Below are 20,300 nucleotides of genomic sequence, written 5' to 3' on the forward strand. Positions count from 1 at the left end.
TGGATCTTAGGGTCTTCCTGCCTCCAACTCTGCACTGCTCTTCCTTCTCTGGAACCCTCTCTCCTTGTGTCCAAGTGTGCTCACATGGTGCCCTTCTCCAGTTCTCTCCAAGTACTTCTTCCTCCTATAACAACACTCCCTCTCCTGTGGAGTGTCTACATCAGGTGTGGGAAGGAAAGCAGCCCAGTTACATTATTCACAATTCAGTGAATAATATTAACAATGGAAAAGATGAGCTTGTTGATACAATTGGATTTATAATTGATAGCATTCAGCTAAAGTAATTTTGCAAAGGAAGTTATTTCAGGCAGAATTAGAAAATAATTTTTGAAAAGTAGGGGATATAAAAAAATAAATGTCCATTACACACACACACAGACACACACACACACACACGGCCATGATATAGAATACTGTGCAGCAATTTTTTTTTTTTTTTTGGAGATGGAGTCTTGCTCTGTCGCCCAGGCTGGAGCATAGTGGCACGATCTAGGTTCACTGCAAGCTCTGCGATCTCGGCTCACTGCAAGCTCCGCCTCCCAGGTTCAAGTCATTCTCCTGCCTCAGCCTTCCGAGTAGCTGGGACTACAGGCGCCCGCCACCATGCTCGGCTAATTTTTTGTATTTTTAGTAGAGACGGGGTTTCGCCATGTTAACCAGGATGGTCTTGATCTCCTGACCTCATGGTCCGCCCACCTCGGCCTCCCAAAGTGCTGAGATTACTATGCATGAGCCACCGAGCCCAGCCCACTGTGCAGCAATTTTTTTAAAAAAAGATATAGCACTATATATACTGAAATGAAAACTCTCCAAGATACTGTAACAACAAGCCCCTTTTGGACTTCTTAAATCCAGCCACAAACTCACAAATAAGGTCATCCCCGGACTTTCTCCACTAATTCAGAATAATCCCTCTCTTTCCCCTACTCCCTGAGAGAATCAGGCTTACTCGGTACCACCCACAGACTCAAGCCTGCAGAACTCAGAAGAGTACTTCTGAAAAGTTGCTAGTAGTCTCTGAGCCCAACCAACAAACATTAGCGGCTTTCTCGTGGTCAAACCACACTCACAGATCTGGCCACAAAGGCAAATTCATTTTCCAGTGAGGGATTTACAAACTACATCTGTAGCTTTCTGATGAGTGACTTTTGTTCTAATTTTTGTTCTAATCTAAGGCTAAAGATAAGGTTCTGATGGAATTTTTTCTTTAATATTAAAGCATAAATAAACAAAACACAAAGCATTGAGCAAACACACTGAGACTTATTTCACAGTGCCATCTCAACCGAGGCAGTTCCCAGGACCTAGAAGTGCTTTGCCCAGCAGGGGGCTAGGTCCCCACCAATCACAGCTGCACTTCCCAAGAACAGGCCTCAGGTGTTCCTAAAACCTGGGAAGGGAGGCCATCGTGCTGCCCAAATGTTGATTTGCTATAAAAGCAAAAAGATGGGCCATACCTCTCCTCCTTCGAGCTATTTCTGAAAAAGAGGCAGGATGACAAACTTGAGTTACACTCTTCCAAAGCAGAAACTACTGTCTGGGACTTAGCTTTCTGTTGTTGCTGTATGTTCCATTAAACCAGTTCAATGGGCTAAGGATCATTCAGCAAATAACTATTTCTGTGTTAAAAGATTAAAAAGATAACAGAGGGTCAGGCACAGTGGTTCATGCCTGTAATCCCAGCACTTTGGGAGGCAAGGTGGGCAGATCACCCGAGGTCGGGAGTTCGAGACCAGACTGGCCAACAGGGTAAAATCCATCTCTACTAAAAATACGAAAATTAGCCAGGCATGCCGGTGTGTGCCTGTAGTCCCAGCTACTCGGGAGGATGAGGCAGGAGAATTGCTTGAACCTGGGAGGGGGAGGTTGCAGTGAGCCGAGATTGTGTCACTGCACTCCAGCCTGGGCCACAAAGTGAGACTCCGTCTCCGAAAAAAAAAGAAGAAAAATGATAGCAGAGGCAACGGCTCCTTTGGTTTCTTTGGTGCATGCACTGTCATCCTCAAGAGTTAAGAAGGCCCTGTTTTCCTAATGTCCTTGTCACTGTTTAGCAGCAAGCACACGGGCACAGGGACACTCCTTGCCTGTGGGACAGACATCGTTCCCATAGCAGCAAACCCATGTCTGTCAGGAAGTAACCAGGCAGCAGCTGTGGGCAGCTGTGTGCCCATGGGGAACTGGTCCGCTCTTTTTTTCTATTACTTTTTTTACAAAAACCTGAATTTCCGGTTTTATTACAAAGCCATTTCTAAATGATGGGTTTTCTAAACCAAAGTCTCAGATTTGGCTGTCAGGGGGTCTTATTCCTATCGCCTTAACGTGAGGAGGGCTATTGGTGTGTAGCTTCCTGCATCTTGTAGACCCAGTCTCTGAAAACTCTCAATGCTTTGAGCCAAAAGAGACTCAGGAGATTACACATTCTCTTATTTTAGGAGTGTGTGCAGGTGCCAACTGGAATGCGGTGAGTGGTACTGTGTGTGCGCAAACAGAGAAGAGAACAGGAAAGAACATTTTACCCTCCACAATTTGGGGGTGGATTGCTTTTTGAAACCTTTGGCAAATAATTGCATCAAAGTGTCTCAGTTCTTCAGCGAATACACATGTGTTGTGGTACCAGGTCCACCTATGGTACTGAGGTCCGGAATCTCCTCCCTGACTATAAATTGGGGGTTTTTGTTGTTGTTGTTGTTTTGGTTCTATACTGAGCACCTATGGCTCTCTGGTTATAAGTACTCTTGTTGATTGGGAGGAGAATCCTGTCTTTTGGGACACTAGTTTATAATTTAGTGCACTGTGGCAGCAGAGCTATCAATGTCTGAATTTATCTCCCATCTTGGTATTTTCAGGGGGAACCAGAGAAAACAGTCTATATCCACCAATTCTCCACCACACACCAAGTTATTTTTTAGATGTTTAATGAAAATGTTGGCAGGAGGTGGCAATAGTTATTTTTACTTAAGTATAGCACTCAGAAAGGCAATCTTTAAAACCTAGAGTTCAAGTTTATCCTTATTATTTACAATGAGTAAGGACTTTTGGGAAGATCTGGCTATTGAATATCAACAGGTAAGATTATTTAAAGTTCCTACAATGATTGTGAAAATAATCTCGCATTCTGCTGAGAATATCCTCATCCACAATTCATACGTGGCATCATACTTTGCATGTTTGGTAAATAAAGGGTGGAAAGAACAAATCTTTGGATTGTCTCTACTAGCCAGTGTATACCTGGGGCCATTCATGGGATCCAGGAACCAGACTGTGCCTGTCTCTCCGTGAACAAAGAGCATCCTTGGAGCATTCTTGCCAATCAAATGGATGCTTTTTTCTAAGTTAACTGCAGAAAGCCTTCCCTACCTACAGTGTTTGTAATTTTTCAACTTGTGCTACTGTAGCTTGGTACCTGCTGGGCATGGCTATCATTACCTACAATTCACTACTCTTCTGGATAACTCGCCTGAACCTTGAAAGGTAAAAAATAACTGCACTAAAATCAAAAGACCTGGGTTACAATTCTGGTTTTGTCACCGAACATCCATGCTAACTTGATCAAGCCTTAGTTTTCCCATCTATAATGTGATAATCACACGACTCCTGTACAAGGTTTTTATGCAATTTAAATTACATACTGGATGGGAATATAGTTTATAAATTATACCATGTTATATAAATATGTAGGATTTGGTATTTGGCGAAACTTACACTCTCTTTTAGCCCCCATTTCAGATGCTATTTGGTGAAATGCCACACCCTTGTCCCAGCTTTCTGGACCCAGGTTTGTGCATCACACAATTACTTCAGCTACTAAGGAAAAAGGGCCAAATCTCAAAAGGTGCTTAGCCCACAGTTTTACTCCTAAAATGTGAGGGCCTTTTATGGGCCCACTTCCAGCCTAGAGTTCACAGCAAGACATGTGCTGTCAGGGCAGGAAACTTTACTTAACAACCTAGCCCTAATGCAGGCCGGTTTGAGCTGAGCCATTGGACTGCACTTAGTCCAGAATGACCGGTTACTTCTCTTCCATGACTAAACATCTTTGGAAAAGATTCTTTTCTTTGTTACATAACCCAATGTTCAGACTCCTTTGTTCTTGAGGTCTTCACCAATGAATAGAAGCTCAAGTTCATTGCCTGCTACCTAATGCTTTTTAAGAGCCCTGTTGTAAGAAATAATATTCATGGATGATTGCCTGAAAGATATGAAGAACATCCATTCCTCTAGATACCCTAAGTTGTATTCACACATCAAGCCAAACCATCAAAAAACAGCAGGCTTAGGCTGAATTGTTCTGGTCCCATGTAGAGCTGCTTTTACTGAATTACACTTTGGCAAGATGCCATTGGCTCGCACTGAGGGACATTACAAGAAACAGTCTTATAAAAATTGCTAGTGCGGGGATATTGTTGAAGATATTTCCACTGTATCCCATCTTGAGCCTCTGAAGAGAATCAACAGAGAAGTGTCCCTTGGCTCTTAATTCCAGAAGAAGCCTGTTTCTCTCGAGCATTTGGCTTTTCTCATGTAGGCACAGCAAATTTCATATTTCCCTTTTTTCTTTGGTATCTAGGGAGCTCGGAGGCACAGCAAATTTCATATTTCCCTTTTTTCTTTGGTATCTAGGGAGCTCGGAGTCAAATCTTCTTCCCACCTCTAACAACTGTACATAAACTGTATATAAACAAGCCACTCTCTACCATGAATCTATGATCCCATCACACCGACCTGCAACATTCCTTGAATCTGCCATGCACTTTCATGTTGCCCTGCGTCTGCCTACGCATGTTCCTCTGCCTGGAATACCCTTTGCCTGTCTTTTAGATAAGTGAAATCCTGGCGGAACTCATAGCTCCTATCTGTGCCCGTGTGGCCTTTCATCCACACCACCAGTGTAGCACTTATCATAATATATTCCAGCAGACTATATACACGTCTGTGCCCTTTGCTAGATCATAAATTCCTTTCAGGCAATGCCATGTACGTTTATCTTTGTATCCTCAGTTCCAGATGCCTAATAGATGTTCAACAAATGTCTACAAAATTAGTGAGTAATTGAACACTCCTGTTCCAGCACCAACATGAAGGAAACTTAAGATGTTTGTTACAAGGTTAATATCAAAACACATTACACTGTTTACATAGGCTTTGTGGAGGTGGTTGCTGGAGGTCCCGGGTGCAGGTGGTGGCGTCTGTCTTAGAGAAGACCCCAATCTCCAATCTTGCTTTTGGAGACAGGAATAATGGGATGCTTTTTTTCCTACAATGTTTCCCTTATAGCATTTTATACTCAGTCAACTTCCAGCAGCTTGTCCATTGATGAGGCCAACACCAGAAAAGCAATTGAGTAAAGTCAGAAATAGAGAAAATTGTGCCCAATTCTGTTTTGTCGTTCCATAGGACAGAGGACAGGAGTCCAGAAAGGAGGGTGGGAGGCAACCTGGTACTGGGGTCAGTGTGGGTGTAAACACACATGAATGCTGAGGAAATTTAAGATCAGCAACCAATTATTTGATCCATTTTCTAACCCCAGAGGGGGCTGGAAGTGGGAATGATGCTATCACAGCCTCCCTTGTTCTTCTAGTGCTAGAACAGTGGGTTTCTCGTTTAAGAATCCAAAAATATCCATTGGGTGATGTAATACCACATGAAAATGGCATCATGGTGTTTACAGCAGAATGTTGTATCAAAACATATTCGAAAGACATTGCAGAGCAACATTCAATACAGTGAACTGAAACTTTTGACCTTGAAGGTTTCCCATTTTTGCTTCTTGCTTTGGTGTCTGCTTTTCTTTGAAACTGCATAGTAAAACTAATGGGATTATTATTGTTTCAACGGGAGGACCACTGAGTCCAATATCTTCACTTTATAAAAGAAGAAGCTGAGGCCCTTTCGAAAATACTGACTTGGCCAAGGCTCCATAATGAGTTGTCCGCAGAAGCGCCACTTGACTCCCAAGCCTACTGTTCTTCCCATGACACCATGCCAGCTGCCTCTTGGTAGTGATCAAACAGAAACTAAGTACAAATAATGAGAAGCTTCTGGGAGAATACACCAGTCCACTTGTTTCCATGTTGATGCCAACTCAGTAAAAACAAAACAAAACAAAACAAAAAAAACACCTGGTATTGAAGTCCTAATGGACTCAGTTAAAGGTTTGAGCAAGTGATTAATGAGTACAGTGATAGGAATTAGAGGTTGCAAAGAGATGTTGTATCTTCAAGCTTGGCATCTGGGACTGGTTCTGCCAAACACTCTGGGAAAGCCTAACATCTGTTGATCCAGTTGCTGGAAGGAGACAAGGTGAATGAAAGCCAAGTGTGGAAGAATGCAGCAGAAATTTAGGACTCAGACCTCACGCTCTGCTGATGAATGTGTTATGTATGTTGCTTGGCAACTGGCACATGGCATGCATCAGCAAAGACACTCAGGGCTTTTGCAGTTGAGCTGGGAGGGCACAGGGCCCTCCAAACTGCACATTTAGTTGAGAGTGTTATGAGGAAGGCAAGAGAGTTGGTGCCTTGTAGTTTTAATTCTGGCACAACAGACCCTCTCATCCCATTTTTGGGAGGCCAGGCATACTCAGCACAGGGGACAGGCTCTTGAGAGAGTGTACTAACTCAACCCCTGCGAGCACTGGACCTTTTGGAGTTTCTGATGGCCTTTTCAAACGATAGAAACAGGGATAATAATCCTTCCCAGAAAAATGTGAGGTTAAAAGTTTAATCTGAGTTCACAGCTCATGCATTCCAAGAGGGTACTGTACTTGGGGAAATTACTCACCTAGAGTTTATATAAGTTCCGAGGCGATTAGAGTCAGCCGACAAATTGGAACCAGAGCACGTTTACATTTGAGACTTAAAATGTAGATTCCTCTTACGGAAAGAAAGAAGTGGGGAAAATGTCACCCATCACCCAATGTTTCTTGTTAAAAGACCAGGTCCCATTAGGTGTCAGTCCATTGACTCAAAGAGTGTAGAAGATGCCAATCCCCAATTCCCCCCATCCATCCTCTTGAAAAGCACATGTCACATCTGCTTGCTATCAGCATTTATCTCGCAGCGTGCGTCTGACTCATTTGGAAAATTCAAAGCACATGTTTATTCCTGCTGTGGACCCAGCCATTACTGTGCAATTTACAGGCCCTGTGCGACCCAGAGCACACAATGTGGTGGAGAGCGCTGCCAAGGAGCTGCCCCAGGCTCTTGGTGCTGCTAGGTTTGATTACTTTGCTATCAGCTTTGTAAATGGAGATGGCACCCCTCAGCCTCTAGTGAGCTCTCCTGTCACTTCCTAGCCTGAGTCACAAAGAACCCTTTCCTTCTTTGCCAGTTGGGGAAGGGGAGGATCCCAACACCGGTGTGTTTGGGAGAGTGGCAGCAGGTAATGAGTAAGAAGTACAGGGCTCCTGAGTTTCTGCAAACAAACAGCATTTGTGCAACAACTCAAAAAGTCCTGGTCACAAAACAAAACTGATGTGCTTTTTCTCCAAATCCCTGCAGTCTCAGAGCCTGGTAATTGCAAACATTTTCACATCAGCTCCTCTCCACCATCCAATCTGACTCCAAGTGGCTTCTCTAACAACACCGAATCTACTAGCCAGGACTTACACAACCTACTAACCTACTCAGTGGCTTCTCCAATAACATGTACTGATTTCATCAGGGCCTACAGAAGCCATATTATGGGTTGAAAAGTAAAAATTCATCCAATTTAGGGTTTTCTCCACTGAATCTCTTTTTCTGGTTTTGGCTCTATTCTGCCAAAATTTACCACAAGGCCCTGGCCAAGGCCAGTCAACATAGATGTCTTTGTGTGAGTTAGAAAAACGTGTCCCCTCCAGATGGACCAGCCCTTCTGGAAGCCTTTCTGCAAAGCAAAACCTGCACAACTGACAACTGAATGCAGCCGCCTTGGCAAGAGCTCATAGGCCTTTTCTTTCCAGAAACCTTGAAAAGTGACGAGAACTCTAAGGTTTGTTTGCCTTAACTGGGAAAGGCCACACTTGGATGATTAAATGCAAGAGGCCAAAAGCTTGAGTCAAAACCCACTCTCCACCTTTGCCTGTGTTCTCAATGTTGGACTGCACTGAGGGCAGGTTGGAGAGGCCAGCCTGGGTGATGTACACCACCCAGGTCCCACGAATGCATCTCCTACCACCATCTGTCAAGTGACCTGGAATGCCCAGTCAGCTCTGGAACCAGATCTTGGATGGACCTTGTTGCTTTGTTGAGTTTGTGTCTACTTTCCCTGGATCCTTCCTTAGTTCTGTGTATCTATAGAAAGACAAGGAGATTTCCTGTCCTTCTGATTTGTACAGTATGTCCTCCAAGTTCTTTCCCTCTTATCCGTGGCTTCTATCATCCATTCAGACTTTGTTTGCAGGCAGGTTTGTCCTCTGAGGCCACCACCCCTACTTTTGAACATCAACCTTAGTCAATGACATTCCCTAAGCAGTAGGTTCCAAGCATTTTGAACATACACCCCCACCCCATGCTCTATTTTATTCATTATTTATTTGGGACCTAATAAATTATCTACACAGGCCATTATCATTACTTAATAGTCCAAGGCGCAAAATATACTTTGAGTGTAAGATATATGATAACAATTATAGATGTAGATTTTTCATCCCTGTGTCCTAGTTAGATTTTTATAATTTTGAAGGGTTTTTTGTTTCTTTGTTTTGGCCAGCTGCTTGGCACATCAGATCATCAGTCTTTCTTTCTTGTAATGGTGTCTGGCAAAGAGCTTTTGGGAAGGGGAGCAGAAGTGCTACCTTTGCTGTTTTTGTCAGTTTGGTTTTTTGGGTGGCCTGTGTTATTAGTCTATCTTTAACCCATGGTTTCTTCAGAGGAGGCTTTTTAAGCCATGTGTCCATCTTGTGAAGGTTAAAGCTAGATAATACCTCACTGATAAGTCCATTTAACCCGGTACAAGTATCCAGGTCCACTAGACTCTCTGCCCTTGAATTTGAGAACTTGTAGAAAAGGCCAAAGATTGGCCCATTCAGTTAGGGTTAAAATCGTGTCACCCAGCCAGGAAAAAATGTAAAGGATTTTGGAGCTGCCAGAGAAGGATAGTTTCACAGTTGATTCCATATCTACACCATTTCTAGTTTAGAGAACTTTTTAAAAAGGGAAGGGAAGTTACAGATACAAAATATGTCCAAATGTCTTAAATACTTACACAGGTCCATGGCCCAGGTCTATGACCTAACTTTCTATGTTACCAAAAAAACACAAAAAAACAGCAAAAAGCAGAACATGTCTTCATGCATCTTTGCCTCACAGGCACTTTCAAGAAAGCATCGAAACTATGAGAAACTGGAGAAGAATATGTTGTGTCTCTTCCCATTAGTCCACACTGCTTCTTATTCAGCAGAAATATTATCTGCAGTCTTAATACCTTCAGTAAATGGATTTTGTCACCCCATAGTAGGTTTGAAAAAATTAGAGCCCTTATATACCTTTTTAATATCAAGGGTCACAATTTCTAGTTTCAGAAGAATTTTGTGACTTTATCCAAGAAAAGCAACCACCATCAAGATGAAAGGAACCAGCAGCAAATTCCCCTTTCCAACCACTTCTATGGTAAAAACACAAGATCAGCGCATTTCTCCAATGTTGCCAGGCAAGGATTTTCTGGAGCTGCTTCTCCAATGCTTGAAAACAATCGGCTCTTTTGAATGTGGTCCCCTCTCCAGGTCTGAGCCTCCCTCTGAAGGAAAGAAGCAGCTCTGTACACTCAGCGGTCCCTGATGCAGGCAACTGACTGTCAGTGGGCCAGTCACAGGGAAATCTCACAGATGGGAAAAGCAAATTCACACTGCAGAAGAATTAGAAGAGTCTGCTTATAATGTGGGACTATCTGACTTAGTGATGTCTATAATGAACTTCAAAGAAGTCAACAATTATATAAAGAACAAGAAGCAAACTGACATTGAAGCCAACTGAAGACATGTACTGAGGAACTCCAAAATCTCCGGGCTTTTCTGGGGAGGGGAAATGTGAGCTGACAGCTTTGACCTCACGTTCCACATGCTGCTTCTTTTTGTGCTTCTTGGAGATGTTTATATATTGATTCTAAGTGTCCATGGACTTAAATAATACAAGAAGGAAAGAGGGAATTAAAAGCAGGTCTATATGTAGTATCCAGATCTAAATCCTAACCTAAACACATCCAAATTCCTCTGATCTTGTTACCCATGTAATACAACAGAGTAGGTCCAAATAGTGCAAAGCATTTTGGGACCACCCATGTACACTGGGCTACTCTGTCAGCAGCTCAAGGAACTGTTTAAAAAGCAAAGGAACCAAAAACAACACAAAAAAACCCCAATCTGAAACACTATCCAAAAAACGCACAGCGGTGTCTGAAGTTGAGATTTTTCTGCTACGTGGGTCTCAGGCTAAGCGTAAGATGCTATTGATGGAATGAACTTCAGACTACTGGAATGGGCACCACCAGCACCACAGACCTTGTGTGTGTGGCAAGGGCCAGGAAAGCAGGCCAGACGAGAGGCTTTTTGGAAGGGTTCTCATCACTGTGTAGCGCGCAGCTCTGTGCCCCTGCCCAGCCACTCCCTGATAGCTGGAATCCTTCCTTGTCAAACCAGCTCCAAGAGCAGGCCACACTCTGCTGTTTCCTACCGTGTCATTCACTAATGTATTCATTTAGCAAATATTTATTGACCTCCTCCTAAGTGTCAGGCCCTGGGGATATGCTGGGGAATGGAGCACAGATGGTCTCCACCCTCATCTGAAGCTTTTGTCTAAGTCTCCCTGGCAGGTTATTTGCTTGAGTTTTAATCTGAGTTAAAATGCAGCCGCTTTGGGGAAGAACCCTACTTTGTGCTGTTACCTGTTGTTAGTTCAACGGGGATGCGGAATTTGGGGTGGATGCCGAGCGCTGGGAAGGAATATGCCCTCGTTCCCCCATCTCCATGACTACCACTGAAGGAAGGAGGCTGAGGGCAGATATGTGGTGAGGACTATGCTGGTGCACTTGGCAAATTTATTTTCATCTGCTTCACAGTTTGCTTGGGACTAGCCCAGCTTCTAACAGCCCCCAGTTTTTGGCTTGATCCTCAGACAACGCTTGTTAAAGGGTGGTGGGGGCGGGTGGGGGATAGTGACTGAAGAGGCTGTATTTATTGGGAGTGTATAGAAAATCCCATGACATAGTTTTTGCAAGGACTTCCAGCTTTCTCTTAGTATAAATGGTTAACCCTTTCATCTCCATTTGTATCTCCAGTGCAGGTCTGCTGGTGTCACTAGAGAGGAAGGAGACCGCAAGAAGACAGCGGCCGGGGGGATCTAGGAGATGGAAAGGGTCCTGAAAAATTCTAATCTGGATAATCTCTGGATACTGGACAATGAAGCCCAGGTGTGCTCTAAAAAAATGGAGCAAAATTTGGTCCAACTCATGCCAATTGTGTTCAACAGTTTATAGGATAAGTAGATCCTTTCAGGCTGTCATAGTTCAAGCTCTTGGAATGACCAGTAATATATACTTAAACATATGACAAAACTTAAGGGAAAAGAGGGCCCAAGGCATGCAGGGGAACTGAGCATAAAGGCCATTGTATTTCATGTATGACTTGACTGTGTTTCAGTAAAGCAATTTTAGCTCTAAACGGCATGTTTCCTTTCTTCTTTATTAGGAATTTCTTCAGAATTACCTTCTGAAGGGTAATTTCACCCCTAGTACTTTCTTCCACTGAGTAGCATTTCAGCCGTATTGTGCAAACCCAGAGGTTGCGCAGAGATCTCAGTAACACTTGGTATGTCACTAATGGCCAAAAACTGGCAGCCTGTGGTTTTGGAATCCTGCAACTCATACTTGAATCTGTGATGGATGTTTATGACTGTTGGAATGTGTCTTCAATCATCACAGAAATGCCTGAGCACATGGCTGTCGGTTATGCAATGGAAGGTGTGACTGGCTGTTTTAAAGATGCGCATGTGTGCCACTATTTATTATTGTTCTGGTAACATTTACTATTTTGGAGGGTGTGCTGTTGTTTCAAGAAATAACAATTTGTGTGTGTGTGTGTGTGTTTTAAGAAGTAGCCTAAACCTTCTTTCCCTGAATTTTGGAGCAAAGCAGCATCTGGGAACATATGGTCCAGCTTCCTGAAAAGTAAACTTTCCTCCTTCATTTTGTGAAGATGCATTCTGTATCCCTAGTGAAACTACAACTAGATCAGTGAAGGAACTTTTTTCTTCTTTGTGACTTATCCACATGGAAACACCAATCTCATAACAGCATGAGAAGGCAAGGGTGGAGTGGAAGGTAGACTTTGTCTTCCATGTGAATGTGTTCTGATCAAAACCCAGCTATTCTCACCAATACGCCTCCTATGTTCTTTTTGGTACTATCTGCATTCGGAGGCTTGTACAACCTTCTTAGTATTTAGGAATATAAAATCAGTTATTCATGAGTGAAGTCAAATATTTTTATTTGCATTATAGTTCTTCAGATCTGTTGCCATTCGTCCTGGCTGGTCTTTTAAATAATTCCTCTGTAAAATCTCCAGTAACTGCCACTAAAGAAAATGCAGTTACCATTGGCTTCCTGACAGGGATTCAACCCGTATTCCAAGGGAAACAGACCAGGATTTCAAAAGGCCAATTGCAAGAATGTTACAGCCAAGGCTTCTCAGTTGCCTGTGAAAGTATAATTATTATCATCAGAAAAGATCCTTCTAATTGTCACCAAGGACTTGTCCTTAGTGCTCAGCGACTGCCTCGGACTAGAAGCGTTGAGGTGTAACAGGGAGGGCCAGTGTTCTGGCCTTTGATTCACAATGCATCCTCCTGGTATCCCAACGTTTTTGCTTACAAAGTTGGGTTATCATCCCTTGGAGATACTTTAATACCTTAGAGGGAGTATAATCAAAAATTTGCTTTAGTATAGTTCTTGGGGACATGGTACTGGGTACAATGTATTGAGGCTTCATAGCAGGCTTCAAGCCCTCTCTCTTCAGGGTTCAAGGACAGAAAGGCTGAACACACTGGCCACGCTACATGATGATCTGAAACTTGGCGGACCTGAGAGGGCCTGAAAGGGACATAGGGCTTCTGGAGGAGTTGACATGTGGGTCCAACAAGGGCCTCCACTTTAAGACAGCAGAAAACGTGATATACTTTAAGGCACTAACCTTCAGAACTCCTTCCAGGCTTGTGTGATTCCACAATTCTATTCTACTTAGCATTGTTATCGGTTGAGGGTAGTTGTCTAGGTTCTTGGTGTTTTGAACAAAGAATTGGACAAAACACAGAAGCAAAGCAGCCAAAGCAGAGATTTTTGTGAAATGAAAGTTCACTCCACAAGGTGGGACCTGGCCCAAGCAAGAGACTCAGGAGCACTGGTTACAGAATTTTCTGGGGTTTATATACCCTCTAGAGGTTTCCCGTTGGTTCCTCTATTGGCCTACAACCAGTCTGACTGGCTGAAGAGTAGGCCCATGACCAGTCTGGTTGTGGGAGGGGACCAATCAGAGGTACTTTCATTTTCCAAATGCCACGCAGAAAAAGGAGGGGTTGAAAAGGGAGTTGCCTCAGCAACTCAGGTTTCCTGCCTCCAGACCCTATTCTCCTGCCTCAGCACCACGCCCTAGCAGAAGGTGGCAGAGTAAAACGGCAACACAACAGTATGAAAGAGGGTACTTTTAATAGTTAAGCATGGCCGGATGACACAAAGGCTGACCAGAGTGTGGGGAGGTGGGGACGTCTCTTGGCTCCTCTGCTGCACCTGGGAAATCTAGCAGAGATCTAAAGATCCAGAAATCTTCCCTTGTGAAGTGTTTCACCTTCACCTAACAAAAGGTCTTTGCAGTAGCTGAATTAGAGTTATCGCTACTGCTGCGAAAGTTTGTTCCTTGCTTTCAGACTCGTGTGGGTCTTGGTGGGTCAGCAGGAGTGTGCACACAAGCAGGAAGTACATAAAATTGGGCATGAAGTGATTAGAAGCCATGGCCTGAGTTACCACTTTGGGGAAGGGTCTGAAGCGTCTCTCAGGAAGAGTCAGTGTCCCTGTTCCTGACAATGAGCCATCCACAGCCACTTCTCCTTCAAGGGTTAAGTCACCGTGCCCTTCAAAAGGGGTTTTCAACTTCCTGGCTGTAGTCTTAGCCTCAGAAGAATGCTAATCCTACTGAGAGGACTTTTCAATACTCAGTTCTTAAGGACTAGACTTCAGAACCAAAGACTAAGAGCTATGTATGGCCAGCGTATTAAGGATCCCAAAGTAAGAAGTGCAAACCGGCTCAAGTGGGACAGGATCATGATACAAAGGACTTAGCCTCTGGCTACGGCTGAGTCCTCAGTGAGACAGAACTGGCAACATATTTCAGGACCTACATGATTTTCTCCATGGTTTGTTACATGTACACATGAACACAAATTGTATAGAGTTCTTACCATTGGGTGTGTTTTCAATCACCCAAGTTATCCTTTTGTTGTCTTCAAAGTCTCTGGGTTTGGAAAAAAAGAAAGAAAGAAAACCCTTGCAGGTGTCATTATAAATATATGAACTGGGTAAACAGTAGGTCATTAGGAAAGACAAGATTCTAATGCCTAGAGTGGGAAAATCTAGGGCAGCAGCACCCATTTGCTCCTCTTCACCCCACAGAATACAGACAGCCTGGGTATGCTCACACTAACACTACACATTGTTATTCACGACAGAAGAGCGTGTGAGACAACGTGTGTTTTGCTGGTGGCTTGTTTTCCTTTCAGTGACCCATGGCTCTCTATCTTTTTGAAAGACAGCTTTAACTGAAGACACATCCTTCTTATTTCTTTTGAGAATTTCTAAAAGATAAATGGAATTGGTTATTAAAGCTGTACCTCCATTAGGTAACCTAAGTGCAGAGTTGAGGAAATGGTCCTAATTGGGTAAAAGTAAGAGAAAAGTTATCTTTTCAAATCTAAAATGTCTACAATATCTCCATAGCCAATTTTGCCAGGTCACTGGGCAGCCTCAGATTCACCTGAAGGCAAGTCAACGTGGAAGAGGGATGTCTTGCCATTTGTTCTCATACCTATGGCACAAACAAAGGATTGGAAGAGGCTTTCTTCTGCTGCTCTGGAATTGGAAGAACTCCAATATATAACCCTGGGCATCTTCCTTTTTCCCCAAATGTATTCCTGGTTGGTTGGGTTATTTATTTATCTTCTTTAAGGTAAAATGAAGATAGCAAAAACCATCAGAAAATTAAGCATGAAATGGAAATTCTGATGCCATTATCTTCACACACCATGTCGCCGATGTGCGAGTATAATATAGGAATGAAAGCATTGCTAGATGAACTTCAGTGACTTCTTTTGATCTCTTGAAATCTGTTTATTCTCTTGAACTGAAATAATTCCTGTGGCTTGGTTTGTTTATTAGCAATTGTTTTTCAAAGTTTGGGAAAATGTGGTTTAAAAAAAAAGCAAATGGTAAGAGTATCATTCCTCTGCCTGCTATTTGCAAGACACTAAAATGAACTAAAATTTACTTGAAAACACAGAATTCCAAAATGCTGTTTCCTATGTTTAAAGGTATTATCAGTGTGGCAGCAATTTATGGGGAACTAGCTTATGATGTTGTAAGCCGCGGCTTTTTTTACCAAGTCATGAACTTGTGTTACTGAATAAAGCAAAATATTCAAAAGACAGGATGGAGTCACACATGAATTTAAAGTGGGACGAAGGGTGGTGTTGTGGGAAGTTAGGGACCCCAAACGGAGGGACCAGCTGGAGCCGTGGCAGAGGAACATAAATTGTGAAGATTTCATTTTAATATGGACATTTATCAGTTCCCAAATAATACCTTTATAATTTCTTATGCCTGTCTTTACTTTAATCTCTTAATCCTGTTATCTTCATAAGCTGAGGATGTACGTCACCTCAAGACCACTGTGATAATTGTGTTAACTGTACAAATTGATTGTAAAACACGTATGTTTGAACAATATGAAATCAGTGCACCTTGAAAAAGAACAGAATAACAGCGATTTTTAGGGAACAAGGCAAGACAACCATAAGGTCTGACTGCCTGCGGGGTTGGGCAAAAAGAGCCTTATTTTTCTTCTTGCAGAGAGCCTATAAATGCTAAATTCTTTTCCTAGCAAGGAATATTAATATTAATACCCTGGGAAAGGAATGCATTCCTGGGGGGAGGTCTATAAACAGCTGCTCTGGGAATGTCTGTATGATGCGGTTGAGATAAGGACTGAGATGTGCCCTGGTCTCCTGCAGTACCCTCAGGCTTACTAGGGTTGGGAAACTCCACCCTGGTAAATTTGTGGTCAGACAAGTTCTCTGTCTCAAACCCTGTTTTCTGTTATTTAAGATGTTTATCAAGACAATACGTGCACCGCTGAACATAGACCCTTATTAGTAGTTCTGCTTTTGCCCTTTGCCCTGTGACCTTTGTTGGACCCTTATGAATAGTTCTGCTTTTGCCCTTTGTCCTGTTCCCTCAGAAGCATGTGATCTTTGTTAGATGCTTATTAGTTCTGCTTTTTGCCCTTTGAAGCGTGTGATCTTTGTACCTACTCCCTGTTCTTACAGCCCCTCCCCTTTTGAAACCCTTAATAAAAACTTGCTGGTCTGAGACTCAGGCGGGCATCACAATCCTACCGATATGTGATGTCACCGCCAGTGGCCCAGCTGCAAAATTCCTCTCTTTGTACTGTCTCTCTTTATTTCTCAGCCGGCTGACACTTATAGAAAATAGAACCTACGTTGAAATATTGGGGGCAGGTTCCCCCAGTAGGGTGGGGCTGTATAAGCTGAATGAAAAATCAGCTGCTCCAACACAGGTATTTCAATCACGCTGATCCATTCATGGCCATATGGCTGGTGGTCAACACAAATAAGTTATAGGTATGCAACAGTGGAGAGACTTCTGACTTACCTTCCCATCTCTCTCTCACCCCATCCCAACATTTTCTCTTCTGGTCATACCCATGGGGCTTCTGGCCTTTTCACCTGGCCTGCCGTTCATCTGCTTGCCCACTGTGTCAGAGGCATGTGAATCAGAGCAATTCCCTCTTGAAAAGGGCTGGGTAAAATGAGGCTGAGACCTACTGGGCTGCATTCCTGACGGTTAAGGACTTCTAAGTCACAGGATGAGATAAGAGGTCAGCACAAGATATAGGTCATAAAGACCTTGCTGATAATACAGGTTGCAGTAAAGTAGCCAGCTAAATCCCACCAAAAACAGATGGCAATGAGAGTGACCCCTGGTCGTCCTCACTGCTACACTCCCACCAGTGCCACGACAGTTTACAGATGCCATGGCAACATCAGGAAGTTACTCTATAGGGTCTAAAAAGGGGAGACATGAATAATCCACCCCTTGTTTAGCATATCATCAAAAAATAACCATAAAAATGGGCAACCAGGCCGGGCGCAGTGGCTCACGCCTGTAATCCCAGCACTTTGGGAGGCCGAGGCGGGTGGATCATGAGGTCAGGAGATCGAGACCATCCTGGCTAACAAGGTGAAACCCCGTCTCTACTAAAAATACAAAAAATTAGCCAGGCGCGGTGGCGGGCGCCTGTAGTCCCAGCTACTCGGGAGGCTGAGGCAGGAGAATGGCGTGAACCCGGGAAGCGGAGCTTGCAGTGAGCCGAGATTGCGCCACTGCAGTCCGCAGTCCGGCCTGGACGACAGAGCGAGACTCCGTCTCAAAAAAAAAAAAAAAAAAAAAAAAAGGGCAACCAGCAGCTCCCGGGGCTGCCTTGTGTATAAAGTAGCCATTATTTTATTCCTTTACTTTCCTAATAAACATGCTTTCACTTTACTCTATGGACTCACTCTGAATTCTTTCTTGTGTGAGATCCAAGAACCTTCTCTCAGGGTCTGGATGGGGACCCTTTTCCTGTAACAACTGGACTGGAGTCAGGCACTGGCCTGGTCCTCAGTGCTCTCCAGGACTGGTCTGCTCCCCACTTTGGTGTGTCTTTCTCTTGTGTCGTTGTGTAATTACCTCCTCACTCGGTGCTGGGCTCCAGGTCCTAAGCTCAGCTTTGGCATCTGGCCAGCACCCTGAGAGGACTGACCCCAGACCTCAGGAGCGATGACGGGACAATGTGAGTTTGCAGTAGGCAGCTTCACTCCCTAGGCTGCTCTTCCTGCAACTGGACCACTCAGCAAGCCTGGGGTCTGTTAGCAAGGTCCTGTGTTCCCTGATCTCACAGCTGCTTCTGCTAGATGGGCACAGTCGAAAGGCCTCCGCTGGCTGAGGGAAACACAGGGGTGAGAATTTCAGCTTCCTGAGGCTGAGCCACATCTGCCCTGTGTCAGTGTTGAGGTGGAACCTCAGAGAGATGTCCATCTAAACCCCATTTTAAAGAAATTTTCTTTGATTTTGTCTCTAGGGATATAAAATATGAAAAACCTCAGAGATAGCAAAAGTGCCTAGAGGTCTTAGTTAAAAAGGAAGTGTATTAGTCAGTGATCTCCAGAGGAACAGAACCAATAGGTAGTGTATATACAGAAAGGGATTTATTATAAGGGATTGGCTCATGCAGTTACGAAGCCTGGTAAGTACCAAGATCTGCAGTCGGCAAGCTGGAGGCCCAGGAGAGTTGATGGCGCTAGTTTCAGTCTGAAAGCCAAGGCTCAAAACCCAAGAAGAGCCAATGTTTCCATTTGAGTCTGAAGGCAGGAGAAAATAAAAAAGAAAGAAAAATAATGTCCCAGCTTTGAAGGCAGTCAGGCAGGAAGAGTTCCCTTTTATTCAGAGAAGAATCAGCCTTTTTGTTTTATTCAGGTCATCAGTTGACAGAATGAAACCCACCCGCATTAGGGAAGGTAACCAACTTTACTCACACTACCAATCTGAACGTTAATCTTGTCCAGAAACATCCTCACAGACACACAACAATGTGTGACCGAATGCCTAGGTACCCCACAACCAGTAAAGTCAACACATAAAATGGACCCCACAGGGAGTGATGTCAGAGATGAGGGGTTGCAATGAGACTGCAATGTATCAATCCTGGCTGCACATCAGAATCACTCAGGGACTTTAAAAATAGCTGCCTGGAGCCCGCCCTAGGCCAATGATCAGAATCTCTGGGGAGTGGGGCCTGACATTTATATTTTTAAAAAGCTCCCCAGGTGATCTGGATATATAGTCAGAATTGCAAAACCCTGGGCTAGAAGGAATATAATAAATGGCTGGATGAATGATGAATATGACTCATGCAGAGAAGGAATCCAGTTGGCACTAACCTAGGAAATGAATTTTTAATAACTCTAATTCAGAATGCAAGAGGTTAAGTCAATTTCTTTGGTTTTCAGCATGGTGTGAGGACAGTGTCCTGGGAAGATCATGGGCTTTAGGTTCAATCCCAGCCTTATCACAAGTTATTTAACCCTAAACTCCAGGTTCCTAATTGGGAAACTAGGTACAATGATACCTGAGAAAACGTTATTAAAAGGTCAGCACAGTGCCTGGCCCCTGATACCTGCAAATGTCAGTCTCTTTTTCCTAACTCAGCAGGTATCAGATTCTTAAATTTAAGAATCAGAAACATTCTCATCATAAATGTAATCCCATCTGTGTTTTCAATAAATAATACATCACATACTGCATCTCCTTTAGTGGTCTTTTCAATCATGATAACAAAAACTCCTGTGGTTCATAAACAGAAAAAAAAATGTCAGATTTTGAACTTGGAAAGGAATGAAGGCAAGATTAAGCTTGAATTATTCATAGCGGTCTCAAAGTTGAAATCCTCCAGGGAATTCAAGTATTACCAAATATTGAGAAAAAGGAAAAAAAAAAAAGACAGGAAAATAAAAGCATGGGAGGAAAAAGATTTAAGGTTATTTCTTTAAGTCAAATTTCAGACAGAGGAAGTAGGTCTAAATTCATTAATGTGTATAGATAGAGCTCCTTAGGAAATAATTTTGCCATAATAATGTATTTCACACTAAAATAGGATTGAACTGCCTAATTCAGAAATGATTGTGTACCATACTTATTTAATTTTTAATTTTTATTTTTTATTTTTTTGAGATAGTCTTGCTCTGCTGCCCAGGCTGGAGGGCAGTGGCACGATCTTGACTCACTGCAACCTCCACCTCTGGGGTTCAAGTGATTCTCATGCCTCAGACTCCTGAGTAGCTGGTATTACAGGCACATACCACCACGCCTAGCTAAATTTTGTATTTTTTTTTGGAGAGACAGGATTTCACCATGTTGGTCAAGCTGGTCTCAAACTCCTGACCTCAAGTGATCCGCCTGCCTCAGCCTCCCAAAGTGCTGGGATTACAAGTGTGAGCCACCGCATC

At 43.3% G+C, this 20,300-nt stretch overlaps 1 protein-coding gene and 1 long non-coding RNA gene across 4 annotated transcripts in view, besides 1 other annotated feature; one reads left to right on the plus strand and one right to left on the minus strand.

Annotated features, from left to right (window-relative positions):
* The window catches only part of LOC107985155 (uncharacterized), a 31,075-nt gene extending 19,440 nt beyond the window's left edge, over nucleotides 1–11,635 (plus strand). For both annotated transcript variants that reach the window (XR_007066264.1, XR_001753316.3), the window contains one exon: nucleotides 11,254–11,635. This is a non-coding gene — a long non-coding RNA (uncharacterized LOC107985155). The remainder of the gene's footprint in view (nucleotides 1–11,253) is intronic.
* The window catches only part of COLEC12 (collectin subfamily member 12), a 183,965-nt gene that overhangs the window by 72,094 nt on the left and 91,571 nt on the right, over nucleotides 1–20,300 (minus strand). The window lies entirely within an intron of this gene.
* Nucleotides 5,182–6,381: an enhancer, noted in NCBI's record as "BRD4-independent group 4 enhancer chr18:394012-395211 (GRCh37/hg19 assembly coordinates)". NCBI's record gives its function as "activates an origin of replication core promoter dependent on BRD2, P300/CBP, MED14 and CDK7 cofactors, and independent of BRD4, by STARR-seq in HCT116 cells {active_cell/tissue: HCT116}" and the evidence as "EXISTENCE:reporter gene assay evidence [ECO:0000049][PMID:35650434]".

This window comes from Homo sapiens, chromosome 18 (genome assembly GCF_000001405.40).
Source record: "Homo sapiens chromosome 18, GRCh38.p14 Primary Assembly".
In the NCBI taxonomy this organism is placed as follows: domain Eukaryota; kingdom Metazoa; phylum Chordata; class Mammalia; order Primates; family Hominidae; genus Homo; species Homo sapiens.